Raw genomic sequence first — 18062 nt, forward strand, 5'->3', positions numbered from 1 at the left:
TGGAATGCACTTGAATGGAGTGGACTGGAGAAGAATGGACTCAAATGGAAAACAAACGAATGGAATGGCATGGAATGGAATCGAATGGAATGCAATAGAACGGAATGGAATTGGATGGAATGGAAAGGAATGGAATGGAGTCGAATGGAATATAATCGAAAGGAATGGCAAAGAATGGAAAGGAAAGGAATGGAATGGAATGGAATGGAATGGAATGGAATGGAATGGAATGGAATGGACTCGAACGGAATGGACTAGAAAGGAATAGAATCGAATAGAATGGCAGCGAGTGGAATGGAACGGAATTGAACGGAATGGAAAGGAAGCAAACTTAATGGAATCCAAAGGAATGGACTCAAATAGAATGGACAAGAAGGCAAGGGTCTATACTGGAATTTATTCGAATAGAATGGTATCATATGGAATGCAATAGTATGGAATGGAATTGAATCAAATGGAATAGAATCGGATGGACCGGAATAAAATGTATTGGAATAGAATGGACTCGAATGTAATTGATTACAATTAAATTGATTCGAATGGAATGGAATCGAGTTTAATATAATCAAATGGAATGGGGTGGAATGCAATGGAATAGAATAGAATGGAATGCAATGAAATGGAATAGAATAGAATGCAACGGAAAGGGACAGAGTGGAATCGAGTGGAAACGAATCGAATGGGAAGGAATTGAATGGAATGGAATCGAATGAAATGGACTGGAATGTAATGGAATCAAGTGGAATGGACTCGAACAAAATGGAATCAAATGGATTTGAATCAAAAGGAACGGAATGGAATGGAATGGAATGCAATGGACTCGAATGGAATTGAGTCCAATGAAACGGAATTGAATAGAATGGAATGAAATGGAATGTATTTGAATGGAATCACGAGGAATAGAATGGAATGGAGTGAAATGGAATGATATCGAATGTAATGTAATGGAATGTAATGGAATGGACTCGAATGGAATTGAATGGAAAGGAATGGACCCGAATGAAACTGATTGGTGTGGAATGGAATCGAATGGAATGGAAAGGAAAGGAATGGAATGGAAAGGAATAGGATGGAATGGAATGGATGGAATGGAATGGAATGGAATGGAATGGAGTCGAATGGAATAGAATCAAAAGGTTTGGCCTTCACTGGAATGGAATGGAATTTAATGGAATGGAATGGACTCGAATGGAATGGACTCTAATGGGTTAGAATCGAATGGAATGGCATGGAATGGAAAGGAAATGAATGGAATGGAATGGAAAGGAATGTAAAGGACCCAAATGTAATGGACTCGAATAGAATGGACTCAAATAGAATGGACAGAAAAGGAAAGGTATCGAATATAATTTATTCAAATAGAAAGGAATAGAAAGTAATTCAATATTATGTAATGGAATCGAATGGAATGGAATCGAATGGAATGTACCAGAATGGAATGGACTGGGATAGAACGGACTCAAATGTGATGGATAGAAATGTATTTGATTCAAATGCCTTGCAATCGAATGAAATGAAATCAAATGGAATGGAAGGGAATTAAATGGAATGGAAGATTATAGAAATCAATAGAATGGAAGGTAGTGGAATTGAGTGGAATGGCATCGAATGGAATGTAATCGAATGGAATGGACTGGAAAGGAATGGATTCGAATGGAATGGAATGGAACAAAATGTAATAGAACGGATTGAAGTCGAACGGAAAGGAATGAAATGGAATGGAAAGGAATGGAATGAAATGCACTATAATGGAATGGAGTCGAATGTAATGGAATCGAATGTAATGGAATCAAATGGAATGGAATCTAGTGGAATGAAATTGAACAGAATCGAAAGGAAAATAATGGAATGGAGTACAATGGAAAGATATCGAATGGAATGGAATAGAATGGAATGGACTTGAAAGGAATGGAGGGCAATGGAGTGGAGTTTAGTGGAATGCACTCGAATGGAATGGAAACAAATGGAATCGAATGGAATGGAATGAAATGGAAAGGAATGGAATGGGATGGACAGGAAGAGAATGGAATGGTATCACATGGAACGGAATTGAATGGACTGGAGATGAAATTAATAGAACACAATGGAATGGCATTGAATGGAATGGAATGCAAAGAAATGGAATAGACTCGAATGGAATGGACTCAAAAGGAATAGAATGGAATGGAATGGCATCCATAGGAATGGAATGCAATGGAATGGAATGGAATGGAATGGAATGGAATGGAATGGGATGGGATGGGATGGGATGGGATGGGATGGGATGGGATGGGATGGAATGGAATGGGATGGGGTGGTTTAAAATGTAATGGACACGAATGGATTGGACTCAAATACAATGGACTCGAAAGGAATGGTTTTTAATGGAATTTATTCGAATGGAATGGAATTGAAAGGAAAGCAATAGTATGGAATGGAATCGAATGGAATGCACCGGAATGGAATGAAAGCTATAGAACGGATTCGAATGTAGTGGATTGCAACATAGTTGATTCTAATAAACAGGAATTGAATGGAATAGAATCAAATGGAATGGAATGGAATGGAATGGAATGGAACAGAGTGCAATTGAGTGGAATGAAATCGAATGGAGTGGAAAAGAATCGAATGAAATAATATGGAAAGGACCTTGATGGAATGGACTCGAATGGAATGGAATGGAAAAAAATAGAATCAAACGGATTGGAATCGAGCAGAAAGGAATGGAATGGAATAGACTGGAATAGAACAGACTCGAATGTAATATACTGCAATTTAATTGATTTGAATGGAAAGGAATTGTATGGAATGTATTCAAATGGATTGGAATCGAAAGCAGTGGAATGGAAGAGAGGGGAGTGCAATGGAATGAAACGGAGTAGAACTCAGTGGAATGGAATTGAATGGAATGCAATCGAATGGAATAGAATCAAATGGAATGGAATCGATTGGAAAGGACTGGTGTGGAATGGACTCGAAAGGAATGGAAACAATTGTAATGGAATGGAATGGAATGAAAAGGAATGAAATGGTGTGGAATCAGATGGAACAGAATGGAATGGAATGGATTCGAATGGAATAATATCCATTGGAATGACGTCGAATGGAATGGAATGGAATGGAGAGGAATGGAATGAAATGGTATATACTCGAATTGAATGAACTCCAATGGAATAGAATCGAATGGAATGGCATCGAATTGAATGGAATGGAATGGAATGGACCCAAAAATAGTGGACACAAAAGGAATGGACTCAAATAGAATGTATTCGAATGGAATGGTCTTGAATGGAATTTATTCGAATACAATGGAATCGAAAGGAATTCAGTGGATTGGAATGGAATCGAATGCAATGGAATCGAATGGAATGAATCGGAATGGAATGGAAGGGAATACAATGGAATCGAACATAATGGAGTTCAATGTAATTGATTAGAATGGAATGGTATCGAATGGAATGTAATCAAATGGAATGGAAAGGAATGCAATGGAATGGAAAAGAATGGAATGCAATGGAATAGAATGGAGTCAAATTGAGTGGAATGGAATCATATGGAATTGATTCAAATGGAATGGATTCGTTTGGAATGCACTGGAATGGAATGGATTAGAATGGAATGGACTGGAAAAAATTTGAATCAAAAGGTTTGGAATCGAATGGCACGGAATAAAATGGAATGGAATGGAATGGACACAAACGAAATGGAGTCGAATGGAATGGACTGGATTGGAATTGAATGGAATGGAAACGAGTGGTTTGGAATGGATTGGAATGGAATGGAATGCAGAATGGAATGGAATGGAATGGAATGGAAATTAAAAGAATGGAATGCAATCGGATGGAATGGAAAGGAATGGAATGGAGTCGAATGGAATAGAATAGAATGCAATGTCATCAAATGGAATGGAAAGGAATGGAATGGAATGGAATGGACTCGAATGGAATGGGTTCGAAGGGTATAGAGTCGAATGGAATGGCAATGAATGGAAAGGAGTGGAATGGAATAGAATGGACTCAAATGTAATGGACTCAAATGGAATGGACTCAAGTAGAATGGACTCAAAACAATGGTCTCGAATGGTATTTCTTCGAATGCAATGGAATCGAATGGAATGCAATAGTATGCAATGGAATCTAATGGAATGGAATCGAAGGGAATGGACCGGAATGCAATGAACTGGAATGGAACTGACTCAAATGTAATGGATTGCAAAGTAATTGATTCGAATGGAATGGAATCGAATGACATGGAATGGAAACGAATGGAATGGAAAGGAATGGAATGGAATGGAAAAGAATAGAATGGAATGGAATCAGAAGGAACAAAATGGAATGGAATGAGGTTGAATGGAATAGAAACGAAAGGAATGCCAACAAATGGAATGGACTCAAATGGAATGGACTCGAATGTAATGGAAGAGAATGGAATGTCATTGAATGAAATGGAATAGAACAGAAGGAAATGGACCCAAATGTAATGGACTCGAATGGAATGGACTCAAACAGAATGGACTTGAAAAAAATGGTCTCCAATGAAATTTATTCGTATAGAATGGAACTGAATGGAATGCCATTGTATGGAATGGAATTGAATGGAATGGAACTGAATGGAACGGACCGGAATGGAATGGACTGGAATAGAACGGATTTGAAAGTAATTGTTTGCAATTTAATAGATTCGAATGGAATGAAATCGAAAGGAATGTAATCAAATGGAATGGAATGGAATGCAATGGAAAGGAATAGAATGGAATGCAAGGAAATGGAATAAAATGGAATTCAACGGAAAGAACGCATTGGAATGGGGTGGAATGGAAATGCATTGAATGGAATCGAATGCAATGGAATGGAATGGAATAGAATAGACTGGAATGGAAAGGAAACGAATGGAATGGGCTGGAAGAATATTGAATAGAACTGATTGAAATCGAACCAAAAGGAATGGAATGGAATGGAGTTGAATGGAATGGAGTGGAATGGAATGCAACTGAAAGGAATGGAATTGAATGGAATCAAAAGGATTAGAACAGAATGGAGTGTAATGGAAAAATATCGAATGAAATAGAATGGACTCGATTGGAATGGACTATAATGGAAAGAACTCCAATGGAATGAACTGGAGTGGAATGGACTCGAATGGAATGGAAACGAAAGGAATGGAATGGAATGGAAAGGAATGGAATGGAATGGAATGGAATGGAATGGAATGGAATGGAATGGAATAAAATGGAACGGATTCAGGCGGAACAGAATGGAATGGAATGGAATCGAATGGAATAAAATCGAAGGCAATGGCATCAAATGGATGGAATGGAATAGAATGGAACGGACTTCAATGGAATAGAATCGAATGGAAGGGCATCAAATGGAATGGATTGGAATTGAAAGGAATGTAATGGAATGGACCCAAATGTAATGGACTCGAATAGAATGGATTCAAATAGAATGTACTCGAAAAGAATGATCTCGAATGGAATTTATTCCAAAAGATTGCAATCAAAAGGAATGCAATAGTATGGAATGGAATCGAATGAATTGAATTGAATGGAATGGACAGGAATGGAATGGACTGTAATAGAGTGGACATGAATGTAATGGATTGCAATGTAATTGATTCGAAAGGAATGCAATCAATTGGAATGGAATGGAATGCAATGGAATGGAATAGAATGGAATGGAAGGGAATATAATGAAATGGAATGGAAGGGAATATAATGAAATGCAATGGAATGGAATCGAATGAAATGGAATCCAATGGAATGGAATCGAACGGAATGGACTGAAATGGAAAGGAGTCGAAAATAATGGACTGGAAAAAAATGGAATCAAACGGATTGTAATCGAACGGAGCAGAATGGAATGGCACGGAAGAGAATGGAATCGAACAGAATGGAGTCGAATGGAATGGAATCCAATGGAATGGAATTGAATGGAGTTGAAAGGAATAGAATGGAATGGAGTGTCATGGAAAGGTATCAAATGGAATGGAAGAAATGGAATGGACAGAAATACAATGGACTGGAATGGACTGGACTTAAATGGAATGGGCTGTAGTGGAATGGACTCGAATGAAATGGTAACAAATGGAATGGAATGGAATGGAATGGAAAGTAATAGAATGGAATGGAATCAGATGGAAAGGAATGGAAAGGAATGGACTCGAAGGGAATAGAATAGAATGGAATGGCATCAAATGGAATGGAATGGAATAGAATGGAATGGAATGGACTCGATGGGAATGTAGTCGAATGGAATGGAATCGAATTGATTGGAATTGAATAGAATGGATTTGAATGGAATTGTAAGGAATAAAATGGAATGAAGTGTAATGGAAAGATATCGTATGGGACGGAATAGAATGGATTCCAAAGGAATGGACCGAAATGGAATGGACTCATATGGAATGGACTGCAGTGAAATGGACTCACATGGAATGGAAACAAATGGTATGGAATGGAATGGATTGGAATGGAATGGAATGGAATGGAATGGAATGGAATGGAATGGAATGGAATAGAACAGAATAGAATGGATTGGAATAGAATGGAATGGAGTCAGATGGAATGGAATGGATTGGAATGGAGACGAATTGAAGATAATCCAATGGAATTGCATCAAATGGAATGGAATGGACTCGAATTGAATAATCGAATGGAATAGAATTAACTGCAATGGCATGGCATCAAATGGAAAGGCATGGAATTGATTGGGATGTACCCGAATGAAATGGACTAGAAAGGAATGGACTCAAATAGAATGAAGTCAAAAGGAAGGGTCTCGAATGGAATTTATTCGAATAGACTGGAATTGAATGTAATGCAATAATATGGAATGGAATTGAATGATATGGAATCTAATGGAATGGACCCGAATGGAATGGACTGGAATACAATGGACTCGAATGTAATGGATTGCAATGAAATTGATTCGAATGGAATGGATTCGAAAGGAAAGTAATCAAATGGAATGGAATGGAATGCAATTTAATTGAATAGAATGGAATTCAATGGAATGGAATGGAGTGGAATCGAGTTGAATGGAATTGAATGGAATGGGATTGAATCGTATAGAATCGAATGGAATGGACTGGAATGGAATGGACTCTAATGGAATGGACTGGAACAAAATGGAATTGAACTGAATGGAACAGAATGGAATGAAATGGAATGGAATCGAATGGAATGGAATTGAAAGGAATTGAAAGGAATAGAATAGAAAGGAGTCTAACGAAAAGATATTGAATGGAATGGAAAGGAATGGAATGGTCTGGAATGGAATGGACTGGAGGGGAATGGACGTGAATCGAACGAAAATGAATGGAATGGGAAGAACAGGAAAGGAATGGAATGGAAAGGAATATAATGGAATGCTATTGTACAGAACAGAATGGAATGGAGTCGAATGGAATAGAATCAAAGGGAATGGCAGTGAATGGAATGGAATGAAATGGAATAGAATGTAATTAAATGAAATGGACTAGAATGGAAAGGATTTGAATGGAATCGAATGGAATGGAATCGCTTCAAATGGAACCGAGTGGAATGATATGGAATGGAATGGAAAGGAATAGGATGGAATGCAGTGGAATGGAATAGAGTTGAATGGAATAGAATCCATTGGAATGACATCGAATGGAATGGAATGGACTTGAATGGATGGACTCAAATGGAATAGAAACGAATGTAATGGCATCGAATGGAATGGAATGGAATGGATTGAAATGGAACGGACTTCAATGCAACACAATCGAATGGAATAGATTCGAATGGAATGGCATCGAATGGAATGGATATGAATGTTCTGGAATGGACCCAAAAGTAATTGACTCGAATGGAGTGGATTCAAACAGAATGGATTCGAATGGAATGGCCTCGATTGGAATTTATTCAAATAGAATGGAATCGAATGGAATGCAATACTACGAAATGGAATAGAATGAAATGGAATCGAATGGAATGGACCTGAATAGAATGGAATGGAATAGAACGGGCTCGAATATAATGGATTGCAATGTAACTGATTATAATGGAAAGGAATCGAATGGAAAGTAATCAAAGGGAATGGAAAGGAATGCAATGGAATGGAGTAGAATGGAATGCAATGGAATGGAACGGAATGGAATCGAGTGGAAAGGAATCGAATGGAACGGAATTGAATGGAATGAAATCTGCTGGAAAGAACTGGAATGCAATGGACTCGAATGGAATGAACTGGAACAAATGGAATCGAAGGGATTGGAATCAAACTAAATGGAATGTAATGGAATGGAATGTCCTCGAATGGAATGGAGTCGAATGGAATGCAAATGAGTGGAATCGAAAGCAATAGAATGAAATGGAGTGTAATGGAAAGATATCAAAAGTAATGGAATGAAACGGAATCGAACGGAATGGAGTGGAAAGGAATGGACTCAAATGTAATGAACAGGAGTGCAATGGACTCGAATGGATTGGAAAATAATGGAATGGAATGGAATGGAATGGAATGGAATGGAATGGAATGGAATGAAATGGAAAGGAATAGAATGGAACAGAAATGGATGGAACAGAATGGAAGGGAATGGAGTCGAATGGAATAGAATCGAATGGAATGACATCAAATGGAATGGAATGGGATGGACTAGAAAGGAATGGACTTGTAGGGAATTGAATACAATGGAACGGAATGGAATGGAATGGAAAGGAAGAGAATGGAATGGATTAGAATGGAATGGAATGGACCCAAATGTAATGGACTGGAATGAAATAGATTCAAATAGAATGTCCTCGAAAGTAAAGGTCTCGAATTTTATTCCACTTAAATGGAATCGAATGTAATGCAATAATAGGGTATGGAATTGAATGGAATGGAATTCAATACAATGGACAGAAATGGAATGGACTGCAATACAACAGACTCCAAGGTAATGGAATGATATGTAATTAATTCAAGTGGAATGGATCCAATGGAATGTAATCAAATGGAATTGAATTTCATGCAATGGAAAGGAATAGATTGGAAAGCAATGACATGGAACAGAATGGATTCGAGAGAAATGGAATCGAACGGAATGGAATTGAAAGGAATGGAATCAAATGGAATGGAATGGAATGGAATGGAATGGATTCGAATGAAATGGACTGGAATGAAATAGAATTGAACGGATTGGAATGGAATGGAATGCAATGGAATGGAATCGAATGGAATGGAGTCAAATGGAGTGGAATCGATTGGAATGGAATTGAATGGAATCAAAATGAATAGAATGGAATGGAAGGGAATGGAAAGATATCGAATGAAATGGAATGGAATGGACTCGAAAGGAATGGACTGGAATGGAATGGACTTGAATGGAATTTAATGGAGTGGAATGGCACTCCAATGGATTGGAAACGAATGGAATAGAATGGAAACAATAGAATGAAATGAAATCGGATGTAACGGAATGGAATGGAATAGAGTAGAATGGAATAGATTCAAATAGAATGTCTTTGAATGGAATGGAATGGAATCAAACGGAATGGAATCAAATGGAATGCAAAGGAATGAAATGAGAAGGAATACAATGAAATGGAATGGCATGGAATGGTATGGAATGGAATGGTGTCGAAAGAAATAGAATCGAATGGAATGACATCGTTTCGAAAGGAAAGGAATGGAATGGAATGGAATAGAATGGAATTGACGCAAGTGGAATAGAATAGAATGGAATGGTTTAGAATGGAATGGAATGGAATGGAATGGAAAGGAATGGACCCAAATGTAATGGACCCGAATGGAATGAAATCAAATACAATGCCCTAGAAAGGAATGGTCTCGAATGGAATTTATTTGAATAGAATGGAATCGAATTTAATATAATTTTATGGTATGGAATCGAATGGAATGGAATCGAACGGAATGGATCGGAATGAAATGGAATGAAATAGAACAGACTCGAATGTAATGGTCTGCAATGTAATTTATTCGAATGGAATGGAATCAAATGGAATGTAATCAAATGGAGTTGAACGGAATGCAACAGAATGGAATAGAATGGAATGCAGTATAAAGGAACGGAGTTCAATAGAGTGAAATGGAATCGAATGAAATGGAGTCGAATGGAATGAAATTGAATGGAATGTACAGGAATGGAATGGACTCGAATGGAACGGACTGGAACAAAATGGAATCGAATGGATTGATATAGAACTGTACAGAATGGAATGGAATGGAAGACAATGGATCCGAAAGGAATGGAGTTGAATCGAATGGAACTGAATCTAATGGAATTGAATGCTGTCGAAAGGAATAGAATGGAATGGAGTGTAATGGAAACGTATCGAATGGAATGGAATGGAATGGACTCGAATGGAATGGGCTGGAGTGGATAGGGCTGGAATAGAATGGACCTGAGAGGTATGGACTCGAATAGAATGGAAACAAACGGAATTTAATAGAAAGGAATAGAATGGAATGCAAACGGATGGAACGGAACGGAATGGAATATATCCCAATGGAATAAAATTGAATGGAATTGCATCGAATTTAATGCAATGGAATGGAATGGACTTGAAAGGGATTGACTAGAATGGAATAGATAGACTGGAATGGCACTCAATGGAATGGAATGGAATGGACAAAATGTAATGGACTAGAATGGAATTGACTCAAATAGAATGGACTCGAAAGAATGGTCTGGAATTGAATATATTCAAATGGAATGGAATTGAATATGAAGCAATAGTATGGAATGGAATCGAATGGAATGGAATCAAACGGAATGGACCAGAATGCAATGGATTGCAATAGAATGGACTCGAATGTAATGGATTGCACTGTAATAGATTCAAAGAGAATGGAACCGAATGAAATGCAATCAAAGGTAATAGAATGGAAGGACATGGAATAGAATAGGATGTGACACAATGGAATGGAATAGAATGGAATGCATTGGAATGGAACGGAGAGGAATCGAGCAGAATGGAATCCAACGGAAAGGAATTGAAGGGAATGGAATCGAATGGAATGGACTGGAATGGAATGGACTGAAATGCAAATGACTGGAACAAACTAGAATCGAACGGAATGGAATCAAACGGCATGGAATGGAATGGATTGGAGTGGAATGGAACGGAATGGAAGGAAAGGACTCGACTGAAATGGAACCGAATGGAATGGAATTGAAAAGAATGGAATTGAAGGAATTTAAAAAAAGAGAATAGAATGGAATGGAATGGAAAGAAATCGAATCTAATGGAATGGTCTCGAATGGAATGGACTAGAATGTAATGGACCTGAATGGAAGGGACTGGAGTGGAATGGACACAAATGGAATGGAATGGTATGGAATAGATTGGAATGGAACAGAATGGAATGGAATTGGAAAGAATGAATGGAATGGAATGGAGTCAAATGGAGTAGAATCGAGTGGAATGGCATCGAAAGGAATGGAATAGAAATGATTCAAGTGGAAGGGACTCGAATGCAATGGACTTGAATGGAATAGAATGGAATTGAATGACTTGGAATGGAATGGACTCGAATGGAATGATCATGAATGGAAAAGATTGGAAGGAATGGAATGGAATGGAATGGAATGGAATGGAATGGAATGGAATGGAATGGAATGGAATGGAGTGGAGTGGAGTGGAGTGGAATAGAATGGACCTAAATTTTCTGGAATCGAATGGAATGGACTCAAACAGAATGGACTCGAAAAAATGGTTTCGCTTTGAATTTATTTGTATTGAAGGTAATCGAATGGAAGGTAACAGAATGGAATGGATTTGAATGCAATGAAGTCAAATGGAATGGACTCGAATGGAATTGACAGGAATGGAATGTACTTCAAAGGAATGGACTGGAGTGGATTGGACTCGCATGCAATGGAAACGATTGGAATGGAATGGAATGCAATGGAATGGAATTGAAAGTAATAGAATGTAATGGAATTGGATGAAAAGAAAGGGAAGAGAATGGAATCGAATGCAATATAATCGAATTGAATGGCATCGAATGTTATGAAATCGAAAGGACTCGAATGGCATGGACTCAATTGGAATGGCATCGAATTGAATGGAATGGAATGGAATGGACCCAAATGTAATGGACTTGAAACGAATGGACTGAAATAGAATAGACTCAAAAGCAATGGTCTTGAATGGCATTTATTCGAATAGAACGGATTCGAATGGAATGCAAAAGTATGAAATGGAATCGAGTGGAATCGAAAGGAATTGAATGGAATGGATTAGTATGAACTCGAATGTAATGGATTGCATTGTAATTGATTTGACTGGAATGGAATCACATGGAATGTAATCAAATGGAATGGAATTGAATGCAATAGAATGGAGTAGAATGGAATGCAATGGAATGGAATGGAGTGGAATCGAGTGGAATGGAATCGAATGGAATGAACTGGAATGGAATGGACACTAATGGAATGGACTGGAAGAAAATGGAATCGAATTGATTAGAATCGAACGGAATGGAATGGAATGGATTGGATTGGACTCGAATGCAGTGGAGTCGAATGGAATGGAACTGAAAGGAATGGAATCTAATGGAATGTAATTGAATGGAATGGAAAGGAATAGAATGGAAAAGACTGTAATGGAAAGATATGGAATGGAATGGAATGGAATGGAATGGAATAGAATGGAATGGACTGGAAAGGAATAGACTGGAAAGGAATGGACTGGAGTGGAATGGACTCGAATCAAAAGGAATGGAATGGAAAGGAATAGAACAGAATGGAATTGGATGGAACGGAATGGAATGGAGTGGAGTCGAATGGAATAGAATCCAATGGAATGGCATTGAATGAAATGGAATGCAATTGAATGGAGTTGAATGGACTCGAATGGAATGGACTCAAGTGGAATAGAACAGAAGGGAATGTCATCGAAAGGAATGGAATGGAATGGAATGGAATGCAATGGAATGCAATGGAATGCAATGGAATGGAATGGATTGGAATGGACACAAATGTAATGTACTCGAATGGAATTTACTCAAATAGAAAGGACTTGAAAGGAATGGTGTTGATTGCAGTTTATTCGAATAGAATGTATTTGAATGGAATGCAATAGTATGGAATGGAATGGAATGGAATGGAATGGAATGGAATGAAATGGAAATTACTGGAATGGAATGGAGTGGAATAGAATGGACTCGAATATAATGGTTTACAATGTAACTGTTTTGAACGTATTGGATTCAAAAGTAATGAAATCAAATGGAAAAGAATGGTAGGAAATGTAATGTAATAGAATGGAATGCAATACAATGGAACGGAATGGAATCGAGTGGAATGTAATCAAATGCAATGGAATCGAAAGGAATGTAATCCTATGGAATGGACTGAAATGGAATGGACTCGAATAGACAGGACTGGAAAAAAATATAATCAAACAGATTCGAATCTAACGGAATATAATGGAATGGAATTGAATAGAAGGGACTCAAAAGGAATGGAGTCAAATGGAATGGAACCGAATGTAATGCAATCGAATGAAATTGGATTGAAGGGAATCAAAAGGAATAGAATGCTATGCAGTGTAATGGAAAGATATTGAATAGAATGGAATGGAATGGACTCGAATGTAATGGAGTCGAATGGAATGGAATACAAGTAAATGGAATCGAATGGAATGGAATTGAATAGAATGGAAAGGAATAGAATAGAATAGAGTAGAATGGAAAGATATTGAATGGAAAGGAATGCAATGCAATGGACTCGAATGGAATGGAATGGAGTGGAATGGACCTGAATGGAATGAAACGAATGGAATGGAATGGAATGGAATACAATAGAATAGAGTAGAATGGAATGGAATCAGATGGAATGGAATGGAATGGAATGAACGGGGAGGAATGGCATAGAATCGAATGGAATGGCATTATATGGAAAGGAATAGAATGGAATGGTTTCGAATGGAATGGACTCGAATGGAATAGAATCGAATAGAATGGCATCGAATGGCATGGAATGAAATGGAGCGGAATGGATTATAATGGACCAAAATGTAACGGACTCGAAAGGAATGGACTCCAAAGAAGTGGTCTGAAATGTAATCTATTCGTATGGAATGGAATCGAATGGAATGCAATAGTATGGAATGTAATCGAATGGAATGGAATAGAGTCGAATGGACTGGCATGGAATTTAATGGAATAGAACGGACTCGAATGTTGTGGATTGCAATGTAATTGATTCAAATGGAATGGAATCAAATAGAATGGAATCGAAGGTAATGGACTGGAGTGGGATGGACTCGAAAGGAATGGAATGGAGTGGAATGGAATCGAATGTAATGTATTGGAATGGAATGGAATGGAAAGGAATAGAATGGAATGGAATTGGATGGAATGGAATGGAGTCGAATGGAATAGAATCGAATGGAAAGGAATCAAACGGAAGGGAATGGACTCGAATGGAATAGAATAGAATGGAATCGCATCGAATGGAATGAAATGGAACCCAATGGAATGGAATGGACCCAAATCTGATGGACTGGAATGGAATGGACTCAAATAGAATGGGCTCAAAACCAATGGTCTGAAAGGGTACCTATTCGAATAGAAAGGAGTTGAATGGAATTTAATATTATGCAAAGGAATCGAATTGAATGGAAACGATTGGAATGCACCGGAATGGAATGGAGTGGAATAGAACGGACTCGAATGTAGTGAATTACAAAGTAGTTGACTCCAATGGAATGGAATAGAATAGAATGTAATCGAATGGACTGGAGGGGATGGAATGGACTTAAATAGAACGGAATCAAAGGTAATGTATGGCAGTGTAATTGATTTGAATTGAGTTGATTCAAATGGAACTTAATCAAGTAGAATGGAATGGGATGCAATGGACTGGAATAGAATGGAATGCAAAGGAATTAAACGGAGTGGATTCAAGTGGAATGGAATCGAATGAAATGGAAGCGATTGGAAGGGATTCGAATGGAATGGGCTGGAATGGAATGTACTGGAAAGGAATGGACTAGAACAAAATGGAATCGAATGGATTGGAAACGAACTGAACGAAATGGAATGGAATCGAACGGAATTGAATGGAATGGAGTCTAATGGAATTGAATAGAATGCAATGGAATCAAATGGAATGGAGTTGAATGGAAACCAAAGGAATAGTATGGAATGGAGTGTAATGAAAAGATATCATGAGGAATGGAATGTAATGGACTCGTATGGAATTGGCTGGAATGGAACGGTCTCGAATGGAATGGACAGGAGTAAAATGGACTCCAATGGAATATAAACGAATGAAATGGAATGGAATAGAAAGGAATGGAAAGGAACGGAATGGAAAGGAATAGAATGGAATGGAATCGGACAGAATGTTATGGAATGGAAAGGAGTCAAACGGAATAGAATCGAATGGAATGGCATCAAATGGAATGGAATGGAATGGACTCCAATGGAATGGAAACGAATGGAATACAATCGAATGGAATGGCATTGAAAGGAATAGAATGGAAAGGAATGGCATGGACTAAAATGAAATGGACTCAAATGGAATGGACTCAATAGATAGGACCCGAAAGAAATGGTCTTGAATGGTATTTATTCAAATAGAATTGAATCGAATGTAATGAAATAGTATGGAATGTAATAGAATGTAATGGAATTGAACGGAAAGAACCGGAATGGAATGGAAAGGAATAGAACTGACTCGAATGTAAGGGATTGCAATGTAATTCATTCGAACGGAATGGAATTGAATGGAATGTTAACCAATGGAATGGAATGCAATTGAATGGAATGGAATGGAATGTGATGGAATGGAATGGATTGGAATCGAGTGGAATGGAATCGAATGGAACGGAATCAAATGGAATGGTATCAAACAGAACGGACTGATATTTAATGCACTCGAATGGAATGGACTGGAAAAAAATGGAATCAAACAGTTTGGAATCGAATGGAAAGGAATGGAATGGAAGGACTCAAATGGAAAGGAGTCGAGTGTAATGGAATCAAATGGAATGGAATCAAATGTAATGGAATTGAAGGGAATCGAAAGGTATAGAAAGGAATGGAGTGTAATTGAAAGATAACGAATGGAATGCAGTTAAATGGAATGGAGTGGAATGGAATGGAATGGAATGTACTCAAATCGAATGGACTGGACTGGAAAGGATTCAAATGGAATGGAAACGAATGTAAAGCAATGAATTGGAATGGAATGGAATGGATGAGAAGGGAAAGGAACCGGTAGGAACGGAATGTTATTGAATGGAATCAAAAGGAATAAAATCGAATGGAATGGCATCGAATGCAATGCAATGGAGTGGAATGGACTCTAAAGGAATGGACTCGAACGGAATAGAATAGAATGGAATGGAATTGAATGTAATGTAGTGGAACGGTACGCAATGGAATGGAATGGACCCAAATGTAATGGATTCAAATGAAATGGACCCAAATAGAATGGACTCGAAAGAAATGGCCTTGAATGGAATCTATTCGAATAGAATGTAATCAAATGGAATGCAATAGTATGGAATGGAAACAAATGGAATGGAATCAAATGGAATGGACAAGAATGGAAATAATTGGAATAGAACGGACTCGAATGCAGTGGATTGCAATTTAATTGATTCAAATGGAAAGGAATTGAATGGAATTTAATTAAATGGAATGGAATGGAATGCAATGGAAATGAATAGAATGGAATTCAATGGAATGGAAAGGAGTGGAATGGAATAGAATGGAATGGAATCTAATGGAATGGACTGGAATGGAATGGACTCAAATGGATTGGACTCGAATGAAATAGAATCGAATGAAATGGAGTCAAGTGGAATTTAATAGAATCGAAACGAACTGAATAGATTGGAATGCAGAGAAATGAAAAGATATCAAATTTAATGGAAAGGAAGGAACTCGAATGGAATGGACTGGAATGAAGTGAACTCCAACAGAATGGACTTGAGTGGAATATATTCGAATTGAATGGAAATGAATGGAATGGAATGGAATGCAAAGGAATGGAATGGAAAGGAATAGAAGAGAATGGAATCAGATGGAAGGGAATGGAAGGGAATGGAGTCGAATGGAATAGAACTGAATGGAATGGCATCGAATGGAATGGAATGGAATGGACTCAAATGGAATGGCATCACATGGAATAGACTGGAGTGAAATGGACACGAATGGCATTGACCAGAGTGTAGTGGACTCGAATTGAATGGAAAAGAATGGAATGGAATGGAATGGAATGGAATGGAATGGAATGGAATGGAATGGAATGGAGTGGAATGGAATCAGATGGAATGGAGTGGGATGGAATGGAATCGAATGGCATAGAATCAAATGGAATGGCATCAAATGGAGTGGATTGGAATGGAAAGGACTCGAATGGAATGGAATCAAATGGAATGGCATCAGATGGAATGGACTGGAGTGAAATTGACTCGAAGGGAATGGACTGGAGTGTAGTGGATTCTAATTGAATGGAAAAGAATGGAATGGAATGGAATGGAATGGAATGGAATGGAATGGAATGGATTGGAATGGAATGGAAAGGAATGGAATGGAATGGAATGGAATGGAATGGAATGGAATGGAATAGAATGAAATGGAATCACATGGAACGGAATGGGATGGAATGGAGTTGAGTGGAACAGAAGCGAATGGAATGGCATCAAATGGAATGGATGGGAATGGAATGGATCCGAATGGAGTAGAAAAGAAAGGAATTTCATTGAATGGAATGGACTGGACAGGAATGGAATGGACTCGTATGGAATGTACTGGATTAGAATGGACTCAAATGAGTGGAAAAGAATGGAATGGAATGGAAAGGAATAGAATGGAATGGAATCACATGGAACGGAAATGAATGGAATTGAATGGAGTCAAAAGCAATAGAATCAAATGGAATGGCATCGAATGGAATGGAATGGAATGGAAACTAATGGAATAGAATCGAAAGGAATGGCATCGAATGGAGTGGAATGGAATGGAATGGACTCGAATGGAATGGAATCTAATGGAATAGAATCGAATGGAATGGCAACAAATGGAATGGAATGGAATGGAATGGACTCGAATGGAGTGGAGTCTAATGGAATAGAATCGAATGGAATGGCA

Source organism: Homo sapiens, chromosome Y (genome assembly GCF_000001405.40).
Source record: "Homo sapiens chromosome Y, GRCh38.p14 Primary Assembly".
Lineage (NCBI taxonomy): Eukaryota > Metazoa > Chordata > Mammalia > Primates > Hominidae > Homo > Homo sapiens.